The 26,006-nt window shown below is 32.8% G+C and overlaps 1 protein-coding gene and 1 pseudogene across 9 annotated transcripts in view, besides 1 other annotated feature; one reads left to right on the forward strand and one right to left on the reverse strand.

The window, feature by feature from the left end:
- The window catches only part of MDGA2 (MAM domain containing glycosylphosphatidylinositol anchor 2), an 835,983-nt gene that overhangs the window by 145,409 nt on the left and 664,568 nt on the right, over positions 1-26,006 (reverse strand). Inside the window, exon 9 of one of the 9 annotated variants that reach the window (XM_011536522.4) lies at positions 9,613-9,696. The exons of the other annotated variants lie outside the window; for them this stretch is intronic. Within the exon in view, the coding sequence (XP_011534824.1) occupies positions 9,650-9,696 (47 nt within the window). The 3' untranslated portion in view covers positions 9,613-9,649. The remainder of the gene's footprint in view (positions 1-9,612; positions 9,697-26,006) is intronic. 9 annotated transcript variants of the gene reach the window in all.
- Positions 762-962: a silencer, noted in NCBI's record as "peak2151 fragment used in MPRA reporter construct". NCBI's record gives its function as "represses an SCP1 promoter by STARR-seq MPRAs in K562 erythroleukemia cells {active_cell/tissue: K562}" and the evidence as "EXISTENCE:reporter gene assay evidence [ECO:0000049][PMID:32103011]".
- RPA2P1 (replication protein A2 pseudogene 1) lies at positions 11,348-12,774 on the forward strand (annotated as a pseudogene).

Consider the following 26,006-nt stretch of genomic DNA (forward strand, 5'->3'; position numbering starts at 1 on the left):
ACAGCAGTAAAAGAAGAATAGAGTAGAGCTACAGACATGGAAAGAGAACTCTCCTCCCATTGCTCAAGCTGATAGCTTCAGTTACTAGGACCAAACTACTGACCTTCTGTGGGATTCAATTCCTAGTTTGCATTTTGTGAATCTTAGATTTAGATTTCTCCTGTCTTTATCAATGAGTTCTTATAAAGATTAAATGAAATAACGTGAAAGTGACTAGAAAGAAGTGATAAAAATATAAAATAATACCTTGGCAAGGGATAATCTAGTAGTATCAATTTTGTTTTCTACTACTAATTTGTTTCATCTGTGTAAGGAATCCAGCACAAGTACTTAAGTATATGTAGGAGTCTGTTGAAAAGAACTGAACCGAACCTAGTGGATTACACATTTATATGTAATCATACATGTAAGTTTTTATGTCCCATGGGATGCTGAATTGCTTTATCAATTTTTTGGAGAAGAGTAAATTTTGTGGGGGCATACTTATTTCTTACCTGAGTTACTGCTACCCCAAATACTGTGCTGTCAAAAAGATATTACGTACTTAAAAAGAATCCAAACAACAGTAGAAAAATCTGCTCTCAAAATTAAGCAATAGAATATGGCACTTATCCTGACAACTGAGCAAACCTTTGCTTGAATGGTTTACTGTGGAGCTGATAAAGTCGAGCATTAGTGAGTTGCACATTCAGGACGGTAACATCTACTGATCATGAAAATAACACAAAGCAAAGTCAAAGAACACTTTTACGGACCTTACATAATTTCAATGAACAGGTTAATCAAGTGAAAAGAATGTTAAGAATCACAGACCTCTTCAACTTTTCTTCCTGCATTAATAATGCCTTATTCACCTTATTGAGAGTCACCATTAGCGATTTACAACTGAGTCATTTTTTTTCTAGGAAAAAGACACAAAACCTCAAGACTTCTAAGGTTTCAAAGGTTGCTGTAAGAATGTGATTCAGCAAGAGGCAAACATAAGGAGTGTTATCTTTGCCTACCAAAAAAGTGCCATTGTAGTTTGTTAGCCTTGACAGCCTGAGGAATCTTGCTAAAATATCAAGTTCCAAGGGAAGGTAGTAACTAGTATACTACAGTGCTCACAGACCACTGTTTTTTTGCTTATAGTGTTGGCACTTGGCACAGACACAACATAACAGATGGCACAAATATATCAATTGTTCTCAATTCAAGAACAGTGTCACACGCAGAACTCAATTATGCACATATGGATACAGAAGCCCTTTGTACAAGAAGTTTTATCAGCTACCTCTACATCTGTGCCTTTATTATTTATACCAACAAAGCCTCTTCAGGAATTCTTTCTGAGGTAAAGCTACTCCCTTTAATTATAAAGCACCAGGGTGATTTGCTCAACACTAAAGACCACATGAAATGGGAAAACAATATTGAAGGCTGACAACCTGGGCATCTGCCAACACTGATCCCAGAATATCCCAATCATATTCCCCCAAAATACTGATGTAAGATCTTTCTGATTCTCATGTACAGGCTGATTAAATTCATAATTAACTCTGCTGGATTCCAGATAGTCTCAAACAGGCTATTGATGAAATTTCCAAAAGATAAATGTCTTAAGGAAATTAGTTTCAACAGAAATCAACTACCCAAAAGACACAACTAGCTGCTTAGCATGCTGTCTTATAAACACACTGGCAAATTGTTTGTCCCAAAGCATCAAGAGTAAGCTATATTTTATTGCCTAGGACTGATTTAATTATTGAAGTCAGTAGAACTGAGTAACTTATTCTACACTTTTTAGCATAACCTGCCAAGTGTGTCTGATTTTCTATCAGAAATTACTTAGAAAGCTTGGTTAACAATGCTTATTGATTTTCATGACCATTCTGAGAGATGGACTTTATAACTCATGAAGGCAACTTTTCACATTTATTCAAAGTGGCCCTAGCTCAATTTCATGTCATTACAGTGACACTCACAACTCTGTACCAGTTTTATGTAGGTAGGCATGTAGGTATGCATGTGTGTATGTATGTGTCTGCATATTGGTAGTAATAACAGTTCATGATAGTGACACTAAAACACGTAACATAGAATGTGCATTTACCTCCACTTATTTTAATAAATTTATTGACAGAAAACTTATTTTCAAATGACAGTTCTCTCAAGTAAATGATGAACACTAATATGCCCACGGTGACTCTTTGGGATCACACTGGTCAAGCAAACAGGGCTGGGATTTTCATCACTGGTTTGTTTGTCCATGTGATGAATGAGTCCTCTTGGTTAATGCTGAAGCACTGTCACAAAATATTTTGTGATTTGCCCTGCCAGAGCATAACTGAGAATTCGACACAAAAATGTCTAATGTACAGAATGTTGTTATTCACTATTTATTCATGATATCCACAAGAGCTACTCTTTATCAGAAACCACGGAGCAGCTTTATAGGTATTCCTCCTTTATGCAGAGGGCAGAAGGCCTGTGTTCTGAGTTTTTCTGAAGTCAGATGCAGCCACGCGTCACTCACCACATTGAAATATTGAGAAGGAATTTACCTTGGTGATACGAAAATAGAAAATCATTTTAAGGAGCAACACTCCTGTATCTCACCGTTTTTGTTTAATTAAGCTCCTAAATATGCATAAGACTAACAAAAAGTTAGAACAATGCCTCCCTGATCTTGAAGGGAAGGGAATGACAGTGAAACTTACAACTATGTGAAAGGCAACTACTATGTTGCTTCTATGTGCAAAGCAATTTAACCTGGATTAAGTTAATTCAAAATATAATAATATAAAACTGTTAAGGGCCTCAGAAGGGGACATCTTCCTTACTAATAAACTGCTATATTTAGTAGGGTAAGGGAACTATATATGCCAAAAAGTGTTGGGACTGAATATTCTGGGGTGGGGGGGGGTGCGCGCGTGTGTGTATGTTGTAATTTGCTGTAGAAGTATGTTACTATTATGTAAAGTACAGAGTATAGTATGTTATGGTGAAAGGAAAAATGAGTAATATAATATTGAAATTAATATTATTAAAGTAAAATAGTAGTAAAGAGTGGAGAACATGGCTTCTTAGGATGGTACTAGCTAGCAGTGCCATATATGAATGTATGAGAAGGGTTGTATTTTTTTTTCTTCTCTCTGGTTTATTATTGTGTCCTCAGATTCAAAATGGGAGAATCATGCTGATTATTCCATAAATTATGAAGAAGGAAATAGAAAACTAGAGTCAAATAAAAAGAAGCAGAGTTACTAAGAATTTATATTTACTTTACAGACTGGATAGAAACAAGAAGGGTTGATGGAAAAAATCAAATAAGAGTAGCATAATTTTGATTCGACAACTGAGACAGCTGTTGCCATAAAGTTTAATTTGAACATAAGCAACTTAATAAAAACTGAAACACCAGGGAAGCAAAGGTTAGATTCTGACATGTTTGCTGATAGGAAGCTGCTGACGTGGGGCATGGTGACAGCTGTGTTTCAGTTTTCAGAAGATTTAGTGTAGCGGTTGGACACCAGGGTAGGCATATTATGGTCAGGAAGAAGCTAATGAGTGGCAGAAGGACTCACGGAAAACCAAATCTTAATGAAGAGAATAAATAAGTGCAGCTTTCATATGCATCAGTGAGGATGCCCTGTGTGAGCTGGAAAGAGGGATGGATGGAGTAGAGCTTTAAGGAATCTTAGGGAGATGTCATTTATCTATCTCTTCTCAGGTAGAATTGAAATTTGTGTTCTATAATGATTCTACCAGCAGGAATGAGATGTATTTCAGAATAGATTCTTTGAGAAGAGTAATTTTCAACTGTTTCTCCACCATGACGCTTGGAAAATAGTAGCATGCGCAACAGAATCCCATGTGTTCTCAGACTAGAGAGAAGGATTTTAAAAGACTGTGCAAAGTACAGTTTCTGGACTGCTAGAGTAAACTCCATCCTTCATTTTAAAGAAAGCATATCCATGGCATAAGCTCAAATTTGCAATAATCTCTTTTCATTTATATCTACATAAACAAACCAAGTCACAGATTTTAGTACTTTACATGAACAAAAAATTACTCATTACATGCACTCATAATTCTCTGCTTGGTTATCACTTTTCTTTGTATCTGTCCACACAACTCTGAGTTCTAATACCATTTCAAACTTCCACTTTCTGTGTCTATGTAGTTTTCCCCAATTCTGCTAGCAGCTCTTAGTGGCTTGCTCCATTTATATGGGCTAGGAATACTTGCAAGATAGTGGAAGGAAAATGGAACTCCCCCCACACATATCAGAAAAGGATAGCTGCACTGGAAAAAAAAAAGGGGGGTATCCTTGTGAAGACAATAAAAAAGACTTGCCTTGGGTAACATGATTTCTCATCAGAGTGAACTCCAGGTACATTTAAACACAAAGTGGAAAGCTCATAATTTTTCATCTTGGCAGGTGACAATATGTGACTAATCCATCTTTTTCTTCATGGCTAGAATTATACAATGCTAGTACTATCATAGGAAAGACTAAATATTACATCAACTTTAATCTTCTGTTGGCAATAGCTACTCAATAAAGATCCAGTAAACTACTGAGTAATTTGCCAGTGGGAAAGGAAAATATGTAGACAATATGAGATAATGGATTGCTTCTACTTCTAAAATGACTTCCATATAGATTGTGTTTTTTTCAGATTGAACTATATACAGGCACTTATATATATTCTACACAATTAGCTATCTAGGCAGGACCAAACCAGATGGCAGAGGAGACAGCTGGCAGGGACCACCAAGTGAATCATGAATATTTCATAAAATCAAAAAGAATTCTCAGAATTTGAAAGAACAATAGAGGAGGCTAGCACTTCAACAGCCCATTTAGTTGAACTGAAATTTCTGGTACTAGTATCCCAGCATTCAATTTATCCATATTATGAAATTAAAATAACAGCCCCAATTTTTATGTATACAACAAAGTATTTGCTTTTGTCTTTTATAGGACAGGCTGTCACTAAAGAATACTCTTCTATATAATACAATGTTCCTAAGAGTTCATAGGTTCAAATCCAGACTTTATCACTTGTTAGACATGTGACCTTGAAATGTGTTAACTTCATTTCCCTTAGGTTTCAATTTCAATGAGGATAACAGTGCTTAACTCTTAGGTTTGTCTTGAAAATTAAATGAGATATCATATATGAAGCACTTATTATAGTCCCTTACTCCCTCTCAGCTATTACAAAGTTTCTATGGAATATTAGTCATAAGAGACTAGTTTACTGTGAGAGTAGGACTTGTAAAGCTTTGTTTACTATAGAAATTCAAGTACTCATTTAGTATTTCTTAAATAAATTACTAGATATAAATCATGAGCATTTAATGAAAACTAAAATCTTCATAGTAAAATTTGTTTAAAAATTCTGCTACAGTTTCTATTCTCCTCTTGAAAATCCATGATATTCTTTAACAAGAAAAAAATGTTCTGAGAAGTATTGCAAACATATACAGGAAACAGGTAAAGAAACATGTTAACATTTGTTACACATTTTCAAAAAATTGTTAACCACTCCTTTTATCTCCTTTTATTTTTGAGGTTCTGCTAATGTCTAGTTACACATTAGAAAATAGGAGTCTTTGAACATTGTGTGATTTATTAAAAAGCAAGATCAAAGATTAAAAATAATTTATAGTAAGGCTCCTAGATCCAGATAGATAATAAAATACAAATTTTTCTTGGATAATATGTCAAATGTTACTTTGCTGGTTATAGCAATGTGCTTACTAATCTGATTAAACACAAAAAGGTATAAACATCAAGCTTCTAGTTATTGAATAATCATATATGGATTAGAACACACACACACCCACACACACACACACACACACACACACACACACACCCCGCGTAAGACACAGCTAGAAAATACAGAAGCAAGAGATCATTGATTGTTTCTTTAAAGGATTATGGGATTACAGTGCAAGTATCAGAACACACACTCTGAATTAGGCTTTATCCTCAATGATTTTGTCTGGCTACCATCTGGTCCTTCAATATGAAATAAGTAGTGGTAATATATTTAACTTGTCTTATTGGGGTCATATGGCCAGACATTTTTTATTATTATGAATGTACTTCCTTTTCTGTCCTTTCATATTTCTATTTAAAGTTCTGTGGAAATGTCACATAGTTTGACAGGAGCATCAAGATACAGAATAATAAAAGTGAAGACATCCTCTGCCTTAGAAAGGTCATTTCCTGAGGATTATTTAAATCTTTTATAGAATGTAAAGAAGATCTTATAGTTTTCAGAAAGAAAAGAAATATTATGCTCATCTTGGGACTTAGAAAACAACTTTTATTTTTAAGTACTGACTTGTCCATTCTATTATCAAAGAGAACACTTATTAAAGAGCAATACCAGCTGTCACTGGATAATTTGCCTTAATAGTCTCTAGTATCATCTTTTTGTCATTTGTGTCTTAAGAGTCAAAGCAGCAAAGTTTAGTCATCTATGGCTTGGACATTTAAATTATTTGGAAATTTTATATCTACTAAATGGTACACATGAAAACAATACTTTTTATGGAAAAAGTTAATGATGTCTGTGAGAACATTTCCCAACTTACAACAATAGTTAATCAGTTTTTCTCCTCTCATACTGGAATGTTTCTAAGGGAAAAATATGAAATTCCTTCATTCACTGAAACTAAAACTTGGTCATTTTCCCTAATGTTTGCAAGAGAAACAAAATAGTTAATACAACTGTGTTTTATAATAAACTCCTAAAATTAAAAGTTAATGTTCAAATATTTTGTGCCTTCAATACACTAGCTAGATCACTTGGCTAGAACTTAGCTAGATCACTATCTGTAATAACACAGAATTCAGGATAAGACTCTCTTGGATCCCATCCAAAGGTTGAAATACAAAAAGAGACTTGATTATAGGTTAGCATTTTGTCATGGACTCAGAAAATTGCACAGTTGTATGGTCTCACTAGGAGGAGAATAATGGCTTCCAACTCATAATTTCATGATTTAGTAATAAAAGCTACGCCTAACAATACACTCTTTCTGTCAAAAGATCAAAACTAGCAGATACTTTCAATAGTTGAGGTACACAACACGACAATAAAACTGCTTCCACTGACACTGCTTAAGAAATTCTCAATTAAAATCTATCCACAATATGAACATAAGCAAAAGAAAGAAACGAGTGATAATAATCTGTAGTAAATCTAATTTGGAATTTTAAATTTGGAGGTGGCTAAATTGTTAAAATGTCCACAGTAAAATTAAATCTATATTTTTATTCAAAAGCAAAAATAAAATGTAGATTAAAATCTACCAATGTTACCAGAAGACGTTCAGGACTATTCACCATTCAAGTGATTAGTTAAGTTTTGAACAATTTTTTTTTAAATCTCAGTTTTCTTCTTCCCATAAGGGGACAATTATTGGCAGCTCCATGTTTGTTACAATGAAATGCTTCAGAACAATTAACTAGTAATTTATATACTGTAACAGTTGGTAGAAATCATTTATGCTTAAATTTATTATGCATTAGAATAGTATAATGTAGTGACTTTTATTTGTATAATGTTTTTCACTCAAGAATAGAATATTCTATCATTCAGATCATTTGTTGGTACTACTTCATAGTAATTTGATAGAGACCGGAGTTCTCCAGTAATCATATACTTATTTGCACTTTGCCAAAAGCTCCTATAAAATGAGCACAGCTGTGTAAATTGTTTCACTTTGATATGCAGAGAAATTAAATTTTGAGCTCAGTGCTACAAAATGAATTGTGAGCAAAAATAGCATCCATGTCTCCCCTGATGATTCCTGAGGCTTGCATGAAGTTGATTAATAGCATAGCAATATGCCTCGACTAAACCTAATCGCTTACATATCATTTAATATTGACAAGTGAAAATGAGTGATGTGAAAACATTTTCAACCAAAAGTACTGAAATTGTATACTTCATTCCCCAATAACTATAACTTATACAATCTTGAGCTTTACTTGGCTCTTTAGTTATTCATTGTAAATAGTTATCCTTAAAAAAAAAAATTCTTCTCATACACTAGGAAAGTAACCTCTGATGAAAAAATGTTAACAGATTATTAGAAATATAAATACATTTTATTATTCTAGCATTATGATGATGCGAGGTATGCTTTTAATAAAATAGCATTGTTTATTAAGCACATTTTATCCATTATTCATAATTGAACAGAGATTGCTTGAAAACACCTGGAAGCAATTTGCCTTCTCTATCAACATTTTACTTCCAGAAAGGTTATTTACTTCCTAATTTGGTTTCAAATTTAGTTTGGTTCTCAATTGTTCATAATTAATAACTATTTATAAATCCTGAACATTTACACCACTGATGATAAATAATACTTATTATACATTTTACAAAATTATCACTTTTTTTCTATTTTTTTGGGGGGGACTTTTTTTTTTCTGACACAGAGTGTTGCTCTGTGGCCCAGGCTGGAGTGCAGTGGTGTAATCTCAGTTCACTACAACCTATGCCTCCCGAGTTCAAGAGATTCTCTTGCATCAGCCTCCCGAGTATCTGGGATTACAGGTGCATGCCACCACGCCCAGCTAATTTTTGTATTTTCAGTAGAGACGGGTTTCACCATGTTGGCCAGGCTGGTCTTGAACTCCTGGTCTCAACCGATCCGCCAATCTCGGCCTCCCAGAGTGTTCGGATTACAGGCGTGAGCCACTGCACCTGGCCCCTATGTTGTTCTTATATACTAGGATCCATACTGGCTATCTTTTTATTTAATCTTTCTGCTTTATAAAACTATGTAGTATAAGATTTTGTCTTGCCCAAAGAAAGGTATTGCCTTTGTATTCAGCTTCTGGGAGGTGTCCATGTTATACGTGATACAAGTGTCTTTGCTTAGGTTGGGAACTGGTCACACCCAACAATCTTAGGTTGTAGCACAGACATGCCAGAAGAACCATCCATGTGATTTAGGGAGGAGGCTTTGGGTCAGACCATATCAGTTGACCTGAGTTCAACCACGGGGTAATCGATCAATCAATCATACCTATATAATGGACCTTTAAAGAAATATCTGAACACAGAGGCTTGAATAAGTTTTACTTGTTGGCAATACTCTGCGCATATTGTCACAAATCAGTGCTCGGAAGGTAATGCCCATCCTGCTTCCACCAGAAAAAGGATGGAAGCCTCACACTCGGAACCCTACCAAGCTCTGCCCTATATGACTCTTCCTTTGGCTGATTTTAGTCTGTATTCTTCCCTACAATAATCTGTAACTTTAAGTACAGTTGCTTTCAATGAATTCTGAGTCCTTCTAACAAGTTATCAAACCTAACAGTGACCTTCAGGACTGCAATTGGTGTCAGGAGTGAAGACAGTCTGCAAAGGATTGTGTCCTCAAGCTTTGCAGCTGGACTAACTCCTGGGCAGAAGTGCTTGGATGACAAATTAACTAAAAGGCAAACATGCACACATACAAACACACACACACACACACACACACACACTCAAAACACTCAAATACATAAACACAGAAACTCAGTCCACACATAAAAATGAACATCAACAGACCAAACCGTAGATTAATAAATATATTTTAATAACTTACTGTCAGTGCCACGTTACTTCCTCTCATGCCTCTTGCACTATAAATGGATTTTAATAGTCAATTCAAGTGTTGATGCAAAACAGCCTTAAATATAAGAGCAAAACACCCTTAAGTATAAAGCTTCTAAAATTGAAAATATTAAATCATTAATTGTTTGTCTTGATGAAAAGGTAATAACATAGGGTAGTGGAAATGCAATTAAATATAATTCCTTATACTGTGTTCCTTTTTTAAAACACAAAGGATAGCTCCTTTAATCAGTTTTCTGAAGACATCATTTTCAGACCTTGCTCATTACTTTATCCACAAGTATCATTCTTGTGGATACACCCATATTGGTCAATACCAATATTAAAATAAAAAATTTGGAATTCTGAATTCTAAGTTTATCTTGTTTAGTACAGAGTAAAATCATACATCTAAAATTTAATGAGTAAAATAGCATTTCTCTGATCAGAGATGGCGATAAATATTTTATGAAAAGGATTTGAGGCATCAAAAAACAATTTAAGTAAAACAAAACAAAAATTATTTCTATTTACCTTAATTCCATTTTGTTATACTAAATTACTATTACTGGCTATCACATCAATGTCCATTAGAACCAATTAGGGAGTTTTTTGATTTTCAGATCCTAATTCATGCTATCCCAAATTGATAGACTGGGCAGAATCCTGAGTTTCTGCATTTTAACAAGCTCCTAGATAGTACTGTTGCAGACCAAAGTTTAAGAACTACTGATAATATAAATTAAAGGTTGAAAGACTGGACCTAGCACACTGCTTTGTGTTAAATAAATATGGCAGAATTTAAATTAATTACATTTTAGGAAGTTAATGAATTACAATTTCTAAATTAATTTGTCATTTTTGACAGGTAATCAATGTGTTTAAACTATTTCATAACCATTGCTTTTTTTTTGACTATACATTTTGCTGAATCCATTATAAGAAAATAAGTCTTGCCAGTTGTTCTGAATGTTTTAATGTTTCATTTGATAATATTTATATCAAAGTATTTTCAGCAGAAACTTCTTCAATATACTTTTATAAATATGAAAAATCAGTTCACACACTTAAAATAAGGAAAAGATTAGTATAAGAAAATTATCAAATGTTTGTAATACAATAATAAACATTTATATTCATTTCTTTAATATAAAATTATTTCTTATTCGTCTAACAGGATAAAAATATTTAGAATTAAAGCAAGTTAAACAACAAATTTCTTAAATTCTGTATATTATATAATATATTTTGTGTAAAGGTGACATGTTTAATTCAGTTGGTTGAAAAAAATGAAGACCGCATTTCATTTTTTACATTTAAAAAAAAGCACTGGTCTATATCCAGTGGTCTATATCCATCCAGTGTCTACTCACTTCTAAGCCTGTGGTCATAAAAGGAGGAAAATGGTAAGTTTATGTTAAGAGTTTTGTAAAGTCCTTAAGCAGCATCCTGGGAGATATGAGATAAGTGCCACTATTTTTATAGGTTTTAGGAAAAGCTTTTTATTGTCTAAGTTTTGCCATTGCTTTCAAAGAGCACTAAATTTCTGCTGATAGGAAATTAAATTCTTACATACTTGAATTATCTTTCTAAATCTCTACTCAACATTGTTCGTATCCAAAATGCCAAGGAAAACCAGTGAAAGGTAGACTGCTGCAGGAGCAACAGGGTTCTGAGGTGTCTTGGAAACCCACCAGACCTAAGCCTTCTGGGCCTCTTTCCTGAGGGAACCACAACCAAGATGTGGAATAGTGCATTGGAAATCCATGGCTACTCCAGCTATGGAAGAGCCAGTGGTTGTGCAGAGTCCTCTGGGGCTTTGGAACACTGACGTCGTCTCAGAAAAAAAATCAAGAGCCCAAGCCCAGAACATTGTACTCTGTACCAGATCTCAGCGTCTTTTTGCCATTCTTGTTGGTGAAATATTCAAAATTTGGAATGCTGAGATTTCTCAAATCAATACTGTGGAGATAATTAGATATTGCAGAGAGGACTCCAGCCAATATTGTTGATGAAATGGATGACACAACAGTTGCATCAATAGGGGCTCACCAGTGATTTAATGCAGACAGTGTCAGTGGTAACCACACTGTGGTTCCTTCAAAAACATATGGGAAAGTGATGGCCATCTGAGATCTTTTCAGAACAAAAAGAGCCTAGTAGCTTTTAACATCATGCCCCTCAAGGATATGAATGAGCTTTCCACACATATTCTGGAAGTAGCCAATGCATATGATACTGAGCAAATCTAACAGCAAGGGAGAGCACCTAGCAGCAACCCAGGAATGGGTGAAGTAGGGAACTTTGGTGGGAATAGCTTCATGCCAGGAAATAGCTTTACAGTGGCCAAAAACTAGGTGTTGGATTTGATTAAGGTTTGCCCAAGGTTTGAAAGATTGAGCTTTCAGGATCTTAAGAAACAGCTCCAACACATCTGTAGCCTCAATAAAGGAAGCTGTGAATTTTTCTTAGAATACAGGGATACATTTATCCCACTGTGAATGATGATCATTTAAAATCTATAGACACAAATAACTAGATTTAATTGGGTATTGGAGATATTTTCCAGCAGGATCTGTTTTCAGAATCCATTGGCTACAGCTGTGTATATATTTGGCCAGTTGACTTCTAAGAAGTAGGTCTCATGAAAGTTTCAGTTGGCATCCTTATGAAATTGCCTAGTCTTCTGTTTTTGCTTCTTGACTTTTTTAAGCTCAAAGGAGATTGATAGAGATGTATATACTAGGGCAGAATTTCCCGAAGAAATTACAAATAAGCTTGTTATAACATCAGGTTAGATGGAAGAAAAGTGCCACCAACAGAGGTAAGCAGTATTACTTAAATAACATTTGGGGGTTTGTTATTCTTAAAATGTTTCCTTAAAATGAGCAGTACTAAGGCCCGTGGTTAAAGAGCTAGCTAAGAAACCCACTAACCCCTGCCTATTTGTGTTTCCCACTTTGGTTATTTAGCATTACTGTCAGAATTGCATTTTCTTTCACTTTTTTGTTGTTACTGCTGCCAAAAATGCATTTATAGGAACATAAGGTTCTGGAGAGGTGGCCTCAAGGGGCAGAGGAGAGGAAGAAATGTGACTACATTTTGTACCAAATAAGTGCATTCACATGCTTAATAAAACTGTTGTATTGTAAAAAAATGCAAAAGAGAAGATAAAATGTTTGTTAAATTTATGAGTATTACTAATGAAATTCTATTATAATGGGAAGGAAGTAGAGTGAACAAGTTTTGTGTGTGACTGATTTCAAAATCATCAACAATCAAAACTTCTGTAGACACTTTAAGTTTAAAGGCCAATGGTGATTTTGTTATTTGAAGACTTTTGAATAATCCTTATTGAATATCATCAGAAAAAAAATAAGAAACAAGAGTCAGACATTTAGACAAAGAAATAGATGGAAGAGAAGGAAAAAAGAGTTATTTTTGAAGAGCCCTGAAGAAGAAAAGGGAAATGAAGTGAAATATCATAGGGCTTAGAAAATAATTTATCTAGACCAGGCATGGTGGCTCACACCTAAAATTCCAGAACTTTGGGAGGCCAAGGCAGGAGGATTGCTTGATCCCACGAGTTTGAGACTAGCCTGGGCAACATGGTGAGATCCAGTCTCTATAAAAACAGATGAAAAGAAAAAATAATAATTTATCTGTCTATGAAGAGTGAGGAAACCAAGTCAACTGTAAGAAGGGTGGAGCTAATGAAGCTATCTTGAGAAACCTAGGGTTATATAAACATACGTATTAGAGGAAAGTTTAGAAATATATTATCTGGACATGTTTAATAAAGCTAAGTAGGCTAAATAAAGGTTACATAAACTTCTGTATTTAATTTTAAAACTCCAATATCAAGCTCTTTTGCATTTCTGAATCCAGTATGAGATCCAGAAGTTGAAAGCCAATAAGACTGAGTAACAAAATGAGAAAAGCTCGTGGAAAGTCTGATACTCGTACAAAATTCTTTTTAGTATAGCTATTCTTTGCAAAATAAAAATAATTAAAATCATTTTTCAAACCTCTCAGAGAATTTTAAAGTTTATGTTGCCAATTGTGAATACTAAATGAACACTAATTATCCACTACCCATCATTATTAACTAAATATGTGTATGATTTTATTTATATAATCTTAATTAGTGGGTCAACTTTTATCTTATTCAAGGTACTTACAAATTGGACAAGGAATTTGATGCCTTCATTTCTAACCTTAATTTCCCTTGCTCTGTTTTTCCTATATAATGTTAAGTTGTTCAACTACAAATTGTTCTATCATAAGAAATCTCAGGAACCTACCCTTCCCAGTAGGAAACAATCCACTGTTCACTAAATTACTTGTCAATAAAATGATAAAGTGAAATAGAAATGCAGAATGGAATACAGTAGATGAAAAATATTATCTCTGGCATACACTGGCTATTATTATTTTTATTCACCAATCAATAGTGTTGACTTTTTTAGTCAAATTTAAAATACAGCACCTTAAAATACGATTTAAGTATAAATTGTGGAATCAGAAGGCAAAAATTCTACTGTTGTCACAGCAGGTAAAAAAAAAAGCTGTAAAGCAATGCAGTCCACCTATTTTACAATATAATGCTAAAAAATGTAATTAAGGTAATAAATTTAAAAAAAAATCTTTTTTTCCAATTCTTGAGATCATAAGCACTAGCAAAAAAGCAGTATTTGCAGACACTATTGATTGGTTTTTAAATTAAGGTCAAGTGTTTGGAAAGGTATTGCAAAACTAGATTCATCATTACTAGCCCAAATAGGCACAAAATTACTAGATTCTAAATGAAGTGCAATATCTCAAAAAGAAAATATATTTTTTGCACTGTAATTGAAGAGTAGAAAAAATTTTCCCCTGATATTCCTCTTTGCAATTTATTGATAGATGTATTTGCAGTGAGGTAAACTTACTGTCATAAGTATAACTGAATAAACATGAATCCATCATTATTTAAATATTTAAAGTATTGACTAAGAAAGAAGGGGGCTGTAAGGAAACAAGGGCAGCCATATCTTCCCTCGTCTGACAGCTTGGAAACCAAAAAGAAGGCACTCCTCCACCCCCTTTTCTCTGGATTATCTTTGTGGGTATCAAACTTCATTCTGAAATTTTGAATCATCCTGACTAATATTTCAATTGATGAAGAAATAGCCTGGAAGGGCACACATACCTAACAAATTAGGACATGTAAGATCATCTGCTCTGTCTACCTTCACACATGTCTAAGGGGTTGGCTTTCACAAGAATGATACATGCTCATTAGATGTAACACATAGTATTTAATTATGGTGAAGTTTGAAGTGAATCACCTGGATTGAAATACCAGCATTGTCCTTTGATAGCTGCACACATTTTACAAGTCATTTACCCTTTACAACTTTTAGTTATCTTGCCTAAAAAAAACTGCAATTATATGTATAAAAATAAAAATATTATAGCTAAAAAGTTACATGAATATTAGTGGTTGCCATTTATCTGATACTTACTATATGCCAGATATATTTAATTCTCACAACACTGTGAGTTAGACATAATTATATCTATTTAATACACAAGGAATTTAAAGGGTAGAAAGCCTGACTTCAAAGCATGTAACTGCTCTAAGGATAATAATAGCTTTCTTGCTTAGGTTCCAGACAGCTGTGAGTATATATATATATTTATATATATATATATACACACACATATATATGTATATATATATTTATATATATATATTTATATATAAATATATATTTATATATATACACATATAAATATATATACATATAAATATATATATAAATATATATATGTATAACAGGTTGCAAGATCTTTGTAAGTTAAATTGCTAACTGTGCATTGTTGGCTATTATATCATGATATTTAAATATAAGAGGAAGTTTAACTCCCAAATTTATAAGCAAATGGCATAGAATGATTATAAAGTTTTAGGATCCAATATAAAACAAAAGTTTTTGAGATCTTTTAGGCCTTTGTAATCCATAAGTTCAAATATTAGGTATAGGGCAGTTAAGTAAATTGCCTAAGGTTGCAGCAGACCTGGGAAGAGAACTGAATAGCTTAGATTCATAATCGTGGTGTTTTAGCATGCAAAGGAAGCTACACTTTGAATATTTGACTTTTCAGAGATAATGTTCCTTCAAGTATCAACATAGAGAAGAAAATAATACCATTTAAAACCTAAGTAATTCTTTGATTATTAAAGTAAGCATAGTTTGATTCTAAAACTAAGAAAACTACATATTATTTCAATATGACACACAAAGAAAATAGGTTAGCTTATCAAAGTATTTTAGGTGAGAAAAAAATACTACATCATCAGCCCAAGATGTGGACAGAACATAAAATACTCAGACTTCGAACACTAAACTAGGGGAGGAAACAGTGGAACTACAGTCAGGAAGTCAATTGCATTATATCACAGCAAGTAAATTGTCTCTTTTAACCTGTCAAATCAGGAACAAGATGGAAAAAATTTCAAGCCATTTATGCAGCCAGGTTAGGAATACAAAATATAAGCAAATTTTAAAAAGAAAAGGAATATGACGTACAAATATAGACAAGAAATCCAGCTGAATAAAAAAAAATCACAATTGAAGGAATGGAAGAAAATTTTACATAAGTGCTCTGTGAAATAGGATATCTTAATAAGAAATTGAGTTCTGTAAAATAGGTGTTCATAAACGAGGAGTTAAAGCAACAAAACAGGATGAAAAGAAACACTAAGCACTATGAAAACAATTCGAGGACCAAAACAACCAAGAAGATAAATTAGAAACAAAAGGGAACAAAACTTATGTGGCTGAAAGTTGTTACTAACATGGTAGAAAGATTTGATGTAACCAGGATACATGCATATAGGAAAAGAAAGAGACTTTTCAAATAAGAAAGGAACTAATAAATGGAGAAATCAAACACTATTCAATACAAAAATAAAGTATTCCTGAGGTAGTGACCTGAACAAATGAAACTGCAAACTACACAAAATGTAATTTTTTTTCTTAAAATAAAGAATCCACATTACCCCAAGAGAAAAACAAAATGATGTATAATACTCAACACTGGTACATATCCTGGTTAGGTTACTGAAATGCAAGGTTATAAGACATAGTTCTTCAGCAATTCACACGGACAGAATAAATTGCCTGGGAGAAGTATTGGTAGCAGCAGTGGTGGTATATACATTCTAGACATTTTCACAGCAATAATCAATGGAGTGGGGAGGGAGAGGGAGAGCACAGGCAAGAGAGATCTCCAGCCAAAATGTTGCTAAGCTATGAAAGCAAGAATTAAGATTCTCAACTACATATTTTTAAAGGCAAAATATATTGTATCTGTTATCTCCAGGTTGTGGAGTGGGGGCAACTGAATTGAAGATGCTGGGAATGGAGAGGTGCTGAGTAAACAGGACTGGTGGGCACTAAATTAATGTAATGCAAATATTAGACTAACACTAAATTTAAAAAATAATAATTATAAAACAATGTAAATTTCATAAACCTTCCCAATGTAAAACTAGTAACAAAACTTACAAAAACAAGGATAGAAAATCAGATTGAATAAAGAATAAGAAGGCTTAAATTCATGAATATGGTCTGAAGTCCTATATACTGTTAAAAATATATAATGGTTTATGTGTCTTAATTTTTCTCATAATTTCTTTTTTTAAGTTTAGAGAAATGGTTTAGGACAAAATATCTGTTGTGGGAAATAAATATTCCTGATGGATTAAGAAATTCAATAACTTATCTCTTACATTAAAAATTTTTAGGCCAGGCACAGTGGCTCACGCCTGTAATCCCAGCACTTTGGGAGGCCAAGGTGGGTGGATCACCTGAGGTCAGGAGTTCAAGACCAGCCTGACCAATATGGCAAAACCCTGTCTCTAATAAACAGAAAAAAAATTAGCCAGGCATTGTGGTGCATGTCTGTAATCCCAGCTACTTGGGAGGCTGAGGTAGGAGAATTGCTTGAACCCAGGAGGTGGAGGTTGCAGTGAGTCGAGATTACACCGTTGCACTCCAGCCTAGGCAACAGAGCAAGACTCTATCTAAAAAAAAAAATTTAATTTATTTATACTTGAATTTAACATATTTGATAAATTAATGATATTTTTAGATAAATATATGCATTTTGTGTAAGTCTGTCTTAGCTTTGTTGAGGTATAATTGACAAAAAATAAACTACACATATGTAAGTGTGTAATTTGATAATTACTGACATATACTTTGACAAACCTGTGAAGCTATCACCACAATTAAGTTAGAGAACATGTCCATCAACCCCAAGTTTCTTCATGCTCCTTGGTAATCCATTCCTTTCAATCCTTCCTCCTCACCTTGTCCCCAGACAAGAAATGATCTACTCTCTCTCACCGTACATTAGTTTGCATTTTCTAGAATTAATGCAACTTGAATCAGACCATATGTACTTTTCTAAAAAAAGCTGGCTTCTTCCATGAAGAATAACTATTTTGAGATTCATATGTGTTGTTGCGTGTGTCCATGATTGAAGTTTGTTTCCTTCATCTATTTGTGGACATTTGAGTTGTTGCCAGCTTTTGACTATCACAACCAAAGATGCTATGTACCTTTGTGTGTAAGTTGTTAAGTAGACTTATGGCTTCATTTTTCACTGGTAAATACCTAGATGTGGATTATAATAAGTGAATGTTTAATTCCAAAACAAAATGAAAAAAAAAACCTACCACACTGTTTGCCACAATGGTTTGTACCCTTTTACATTCTTCAACAGCAGAGCATGTTAAGTTCCATCGCCTATTCATACCCTCCAGGACTTAGTATGGCTAGTCTTTTTAATATCAGCCATCCTAATAAGCGGGTAGTGGTATCTCACTGTGGTTTGAATTGCATTTCTCTGATGAGTAATAATGTTGAGTACTCATTCTGGTGATTATTTGCCATCCATATATCTTCTCTGATGAAGTGTCTATATTGCTCATTTTTTTTATAATTTTCTCATCACTGAGTTTTGAAAATTCTTTACATATTCTAAATTTGCAAATATTTTATTCCAAACCATGGCTTGTCTTTTCATTCTTTTATCAGTATCTTTCAAACAGCAGAAGTTTATGGCATTTATTCTGTAGTGTCTAATTTATTATTTATTTCTTTTGTGGATTGCATTTTGGGTGCTACATTTAAGAAATTATGAAATCATAAAGCTTATAGAAGAAAATATTTGTGACCTCAGATTAAGCAAAGATTTCTTAGATACAATGCCCAAAACAGAATTTATAAAAGAAATGATAAATTAGACTGTATCAAAATTAAAAATAAAACAACTTCTGTTGAAAGACACTTAGAAGAATGAAAATACAAGCTACAGACTGTGAGAAAACATTTGCAAAGTATACATTTAATGAAAGATATATATTCAGAATATGTAAAGGTGTTTCAGAACTGCATAATGAAACAATGGCTTAAAAATAGATAAAATTTGAATTGACACTTAACCAATAAAGATATATGGATAACTAATAATTACACGGAAGATACTCAACATTATTAGTCATCAGAGAAATACAAATTAATGATAAATTTTGTGTCAACTTTTGTATATAGATCAATAGGTGGACCAAAGTTCACTTTTTGGTGTATGGAAATCCAACTGTTATTGTATAATTTGTTTAAAACACTATCCTTTCTCAGCTAAATTGCCTTAGCATTTTTTGTAATAACCATATATATCCACATATATATGGGTTTATTTATGGATCTCTATTCTGTTCCATTAATCTAAGTCCATCTATTCCAAGACCACATTCTATTTTTGCAATAAGCCATCAGATAGTGTTAGTCACCCAACTTTGTTGTTCCTTTCCAAATTACTCTGGCCATAGTTGTTCCCTTATATTTCCATCTAAATTTTAGAATTAACTTGTCAACTTTTGCCACACCAAAATCCAAAAACACAAAGAAAACTTCTAGAATTTCAAATGAGCTTGTTTTGAAAATATAGATTCAATTGAGGAGTATTAAAAACAATATTGAATATCACAATTTGCGAATAACTCATATCTCTCCATTTATTTAGGTCTTTGTTAATGTTTTTCTCTCAGCAGTATTTTATAGCTTTTAGTGTGCAGGTCTTTCACATCTTTTCACAGATTTTTCCCTGACAATCATACAGCATCACATTTTAAATGTTTTTAAAATGGTATTCTTTCCTAATTCTAAATTCTGTTTATTCTTTGGTCATATATAGAAGATAAACAGAAGATATGGGGTGAATTACAATTAATTTTTGTATATTGATATCTTATTCTGCAACCTTGTTGAACTCATTTATTAGCTCTAGTATCTTTTGTAGATTCCATTGTATTATTTACATAGATGATAAGATCATCTGTGAATAAAGACAGTTTATTTCTTTGCAATATTGATGCGATTTATGTTTTTTCCTTGTCTTATTGTAATAGCTAGAACCTCTAGTAGGTTAATGAATAGAAATAATAAGGGAAGACATCCTTGCCTTTTCCTAACTTAGATGAAAGCATTCAGTCTTTTATCATAGAATATGATGTTAACTAGGATTTTGGTATTTAGTTTTATCAGGCTTAGCAAGTTCCCTTCTATGTCTAGTTATCTAAGAGGTTTTTGTTGTTGTTTTTGTTCTCCAGGAACTGTTGTTGGATTTCAACAAATTTTGGGGGCACTTATTGAAAGAAGCATACGGATTTTTTTCTTCAGTTTATTAACATGATGAATTATATTGCTTAACTGTTGAGTGTTAAACCAACTTCATATTCTCAGCATAAACTCTGCATCATCATAATGTATTATCATTTTTATATATTGCTTGATTCAGTTACTAAAGTTTTGTTTAGAATTTTCATGTCCATGTTCATGAAGGATTTTGGTTGGTAGGGATTTTTTTACATTCTTGTATGGTTATTTACTTTTTTATATATCTGAATAATGTTGGCATAATTGAATGATTTGGGAAGTACTCTCTACACTTTGGTTTTCTGAAAAAATGTGTATAATATGACCTAATTTTGATATTAAAATTTTATACAGTTATTTTTCTATTTTTCATCTCCCTATATGTATATTGATACCAATCTAATGCTATTGATACTAACTGCTGGGTGGTAAGAATTATGATGCTTTGTCTATATTTTTATTTGTATACTTAAACATTGATTGTATGTTTTATAAGCCACGTGTAGTATTTTTAAAACTATGCAAATCTATTGTTAAAATTTTTTTAAAAATTAACAACTGTATTATAATATTCTGCAATTATAAATGGATGCTGTCGGCACTTTAAGCTGATTGTCAGAGGATTACACTTTTCAGAATGTTTTCTGAGAACCACTAGTTTATCTGGAGTCCTATGTTGTGGTCATCAGTAAACATGGTTGTTCCTGGAACATAACAGTAAGTTCAACTATTTCACCTCTGTTTACCAATTTGAAATGTATGATTAGGAATTGTTTTCAAAAAAATTTTGTTAATAATAATTATTTTATTTCAAGTGTTGAGCATACATTGCAAGGACTATTATGGTCAGTTAATCTCAGGTATCTTTCAGCTGTCAAGATGCAATTCATTTTGTCTCATGTTGTTTTCAGAATCTTGTGGTATTAATGTTTACAGTAGCTAAATTTGAAATAACGTTGTCTCCATTTCACAAAAACAGATGTAAAAGTGGTTCACTACAACATATATTAAAAATATTATAATTATAATTATATAATTAAAATTATATTTATAATTATATTATATGTATATGTTTTAATTATAATTATAATTTTAAAATATATAAAATATCATTAATAACATAAAGAGTGAACAGAATTCCAGTTTGAATATAAAATGTGAATTTGTGAGCACCCAGTCAACTATTATATCATATCAGATAACTTAAATAATATAAATCAAGTGTACAATAAGAAAAGGAAAATGCCTTTAATCCTCCATATTAGGGAAGCTGATGATGTCTATTATTTAGTTCTTTCTCAGCATTGACTTGTTTGGAGTACCAGCTGATGAGGAAATGGACATTGAACTTTTATTTTCTATTATTTTTTAAGCTATAAGAATTCCATTTAAAATTTGCTTTTTTCCTTTAAAAGGCAAGATGCAAACTGATCTTTAAACAGAGTTCCTGTGTCATAAAATAACCCCCTAGGTCTCTCATTTTAGCTAGGTAGATGTAAAACAGAAAAGTATGCATTATTCTCGGAGAATAGTATTAACAGACTATTATTGTCCTGGAGCAGGCTGGAGACTTAGATAAACTTTTTGAAAGCTAATTTAAGCAATGTTCTTTCTCATTGCAACTCATTACCTCCACAAATTTATGTACATACCAAGAAACTTTAAGAATATTTCGTTTTAAAAGTTCCAAGTTCCAGGTAACTGATAAACTGTGGTAACATCCATGGAGGATACATTGAGGACTTCATATGGAATTTGTATCATATAAGAGTGATAATCTGGTCTTGTGGTTTAATCTCCACTTCTGGGTCAAGATTTTTAGAGAAATGATGGACTAATGAACAGAGATACCTGATGGTGAATAATGTTATGTATTGAACAAGCAGAGTAATAAATATCAAATACAAATGCTTAAGGAAAAAAATCCAAACATTCAGTCATAAATTGCTGCCCTACAATTTTTCACATTGATTCTACTTAATGAATTGAAGTTTGAGATTTCATGTTGGGTGTCCACCATGGCTTGATATGTTTGCTGTAGGGTTTCATGCATCTGGTAAGTGAAGGTAACAAGAACGAGTCTGATTGTTGGAAAGTGCTCACCATACACCTACTCATAAAGGCTATTTTAGTATACATTAAAATTTTACCGTATCTCCTTAGGTGTGAGATGAACACAGATAACTAAATGAAGACACCGTGAACATGACCTTGCTACTTTGAGAAGTAAGGAATAAAACTTTACGTAGCCTGTTTAGAATGTAACAATGATTAGAGAAGGTCAATTTGTTTTTCCTCCAAGATTAGAAAATTAAAGAAGATAGGTAGGAAAATTAAATACAGTGCAAAAGTACTGATACTTTTCAATGATCACCCAATCATTTCTCTTGTCCCTCAATTATCTGTTTACTGATATAAATGTGTATCAGATTGTTTTGCCTCTCATGTAAGCGATACTCATTTTAATGCCATGAGTTGTTTCCTTTGCTAGAATTATATTAAATTTGAGTGGAACAAATTCTAAAATACTCAAGTATATTCATTTCCAATTATGATCTAAGAAAATAAAATGAGCACAGAGTGTATCGTAATGATAAAAATTATTTTGGAAAGCATGCAATTTCCAAATGCATTTGTTTCATTTGTGACCTTTATTTGTTTCTACAATTCTACTTTTGAGTTTACTAAGCATCAAATGGTAACCAGTAGTGAACTACTGGATAACCATGAGTTTGAATATTCCATAATGGATAAATATATACTGAGTCTCATTCTATATATAAATTATGTGGACCAGGGGACCTATGTTTTAGAAATGTGTATGTTAGAGAAACAAAAAACGTTTCAGAGGTCCTCCGAGTAAATATGAAGAAGGGCAAAGATACTATGAGAAAAACAAAAGCATAAAGGGTAAATACAATTTCAAAGCTAAAGGTGGATAAAACGATTCCTAACAGGTAGTGTTGGCAGAACAAGCCAATGCCTAATGTTATTGTTCTCCTAATTGGCTCATACAAGCAGCTAAACAATATATCTGGCATAAGGCAGTAAGTCTTTGAAACCAAATATTCCCTGGACCACCTTGCTAAATAAGCTGCAATTTCTAAGACTGATATCCCTTGGTTTCTACAGTTAAGAAGCATGATATATTTTACATTTCTGCCCAGCAAAGCTATTTTAGACAGACTTAAATATTTAAATCCTTTATGGGATTTGACAGAATGGGATGAAATGGCACTGCTCTAGAAATTTTGGCCCCAGTTCTGTCACTAATCAGGTGTGTGATTTAGTTAAGTCACTTAAACTTTTAAGCTATAACGTCATTGTCTATAAAATATCTGCCCTGGAAGTACAGTTAAAATAATGTGCTTGGAGGGGTTTTTAAAAATTAAAATGCTTTATACATATAATTAACAATCATTCTATCAGATCTCACACTCCAGTATTTTTATTTATTTTTGCAATAATATTTATGCTATTTAAAAATAGGTAAGGTCCTTATTTAAAAAATTCATTCAAATGTTTATTTCTCCCTGAGCACATCTTAGCTGTTCAATCATTAAATCTTACTCAGCAAATTAAGTGATTATCCTTTCTTTCTATTTTTAAAATAAGAGCATGGAAGTACAAGAAAATATTCCCATTGCCCAACTCATAAATAAAATAATGTGTATTTGTTCCTAGTGAGTATCACCAGGTTTACGATATTTAATTAAGCAGTGCAATGTAATGTAGCACTCATTCGATAGATAAATAAAATGGTACAGTATAGCACTCCAAATAGTCCTATAGTTTAGTTCACATTTTCCACATAAATCAAGTTGGTACTACAATAAGTTTTTTGCTTATATATAAATTTATTCTACTCTCTGGAATAAACATTAAAGCAATAATACATGATAGAAATACTCAAATACAGTGATTAGATGTTCTAAAAAAGTTAGCCAATTTAATATGCTATAGTTTCTCCTAAGATAACTATTATGAGAATAAAACATAAATGCAGCTGATTTCAATTTGACAACTCTTTGCAAATCAGATTACCTGAAACTTTTTTACCTCATTACCTAATTATGGAATCCTGACATGCTATCTGGCCTAGCCCTCTGGTTCCCAATTATTAAAATTTAATCAGTATCCACTTTTCTCTAACCAAGCACATTTAAGTTCTATCAGCAATACAAACTCAAAGGGGAAAAAGGCAGATCTATAGCAACTAGGATGTGAGAATTACTTTTTTATGGTCAATGTGACACAATGAATGAACACTATGTATACAACACTAAATTGTCATTCTGTCTTCTCCCAGTGAGGCAGTGCATTTAATTTCCTCAATTGGACATACTTACTGAATCAGATTAGATGTAGGTAAGAATTTTGAACTTTTAGTTTCTCAGGGAAAGAGGGCAGCAGCAGGAAGAGACAGACAACACTTTAGCATTCCGTAACTTGATCCCTACACACCCCTTGCGTCCGAGCTGTGCCTTTTCTATCTTTAATTTTCATTCTACAAATGATCAGCCTATCTCTGTCATCCATATACATCATGCTATTTCTAGCCCTCTGAATCTTCATGCATGCTGGTTTCTCTGTCCCTTACCCCCCTTTCCCAACCTATTAAGTCTGATCATCTTTCAAAACTCAATTTAGACAACACCTTACGGAAGAGTTCTGATTACTCCTTCTACTATGTAGGATTGAATCTTCCTCCATTAATGATCTTGTAACATCAAGTCCCTGTGGCATCTTTGCCTTTACTGACTGGCATGGAAATGATCCATGTATATTTCTGACTTCCTGGACAGTTGGAAATTGTGTAAGGATAGAAATTAGATCATAATAATCTTTGGATCCTCAGCACTTAGTCCAATTGCTGGCATGCAAATAGTCAATAGATGCTTTTTGAACTGATCCAAAGAAATCTTAGAGATAATCTAAGTGCTAGCTTAAAGGTAATCAGATAAGGATTTAAGATCTTAGGAAAAAAATAGATATAAAAAAATAACATAAAATTCTAATTTATTAAAGCTGAATGTATACACTCTGACGTAAAATATTAGTGGACTTACCTGGTTAACATATGGGTACCTTATTCACCTTTCTGACATATTCCAATAAAGTAATCATTTTTTTCTTTAATTATGCCTATTATAAAACTGATTATTTAAATTCATAACTATATCTTTATTTCCCAGTTTTGTCTCCTACCCCACTTTAAATATTTGGTGGGAACATTTAGGGGAGTCATTAACACAATGCAAAACACATAAATTTTGCATTGTATTGTTGACTCGCCTAAGTGTCCCCACAAAATGTCATTAATTTTTTGCATTGCATTAATGACATGGGTAAGTGTCCCCACCTATGTAATTAACACAATGTGAAATTTAAGTTTTTCTAGTCATTGAATATAAACAATTGCATAGAAATGTCTTCATCTAACTCATTCAGTGCTTTGAATGTCTAGCTTCCTTTTGTTAACCAACTAAATACTGTATTAATTAAACTTGGTACCTCATTATAATTAAATAAATATAAGTCATGGACAGATGGACATGAATTAATTAGATCAGATTTATTTTCCATTAATATCCATTTGCAGTAAGAGAATGGCGTTTTATTTTGTTAACTCATACTTCACATTATGTTTATGTACAGAGAGTATTTAAGGTTA

Source organism: Homo sapiens, chromosome 14 (assembly GCF_000001405.40).
Source record: "Homo sapiens chromosome 14, GRCh38.p14 Primary Assembly".
NCBI classification, from domain to species: domain Eukaryota; kingdom Metazoa; phylum Chordata; class Mammalia; order Primates; family Hominidae; genus Homo; species Homo sapiens.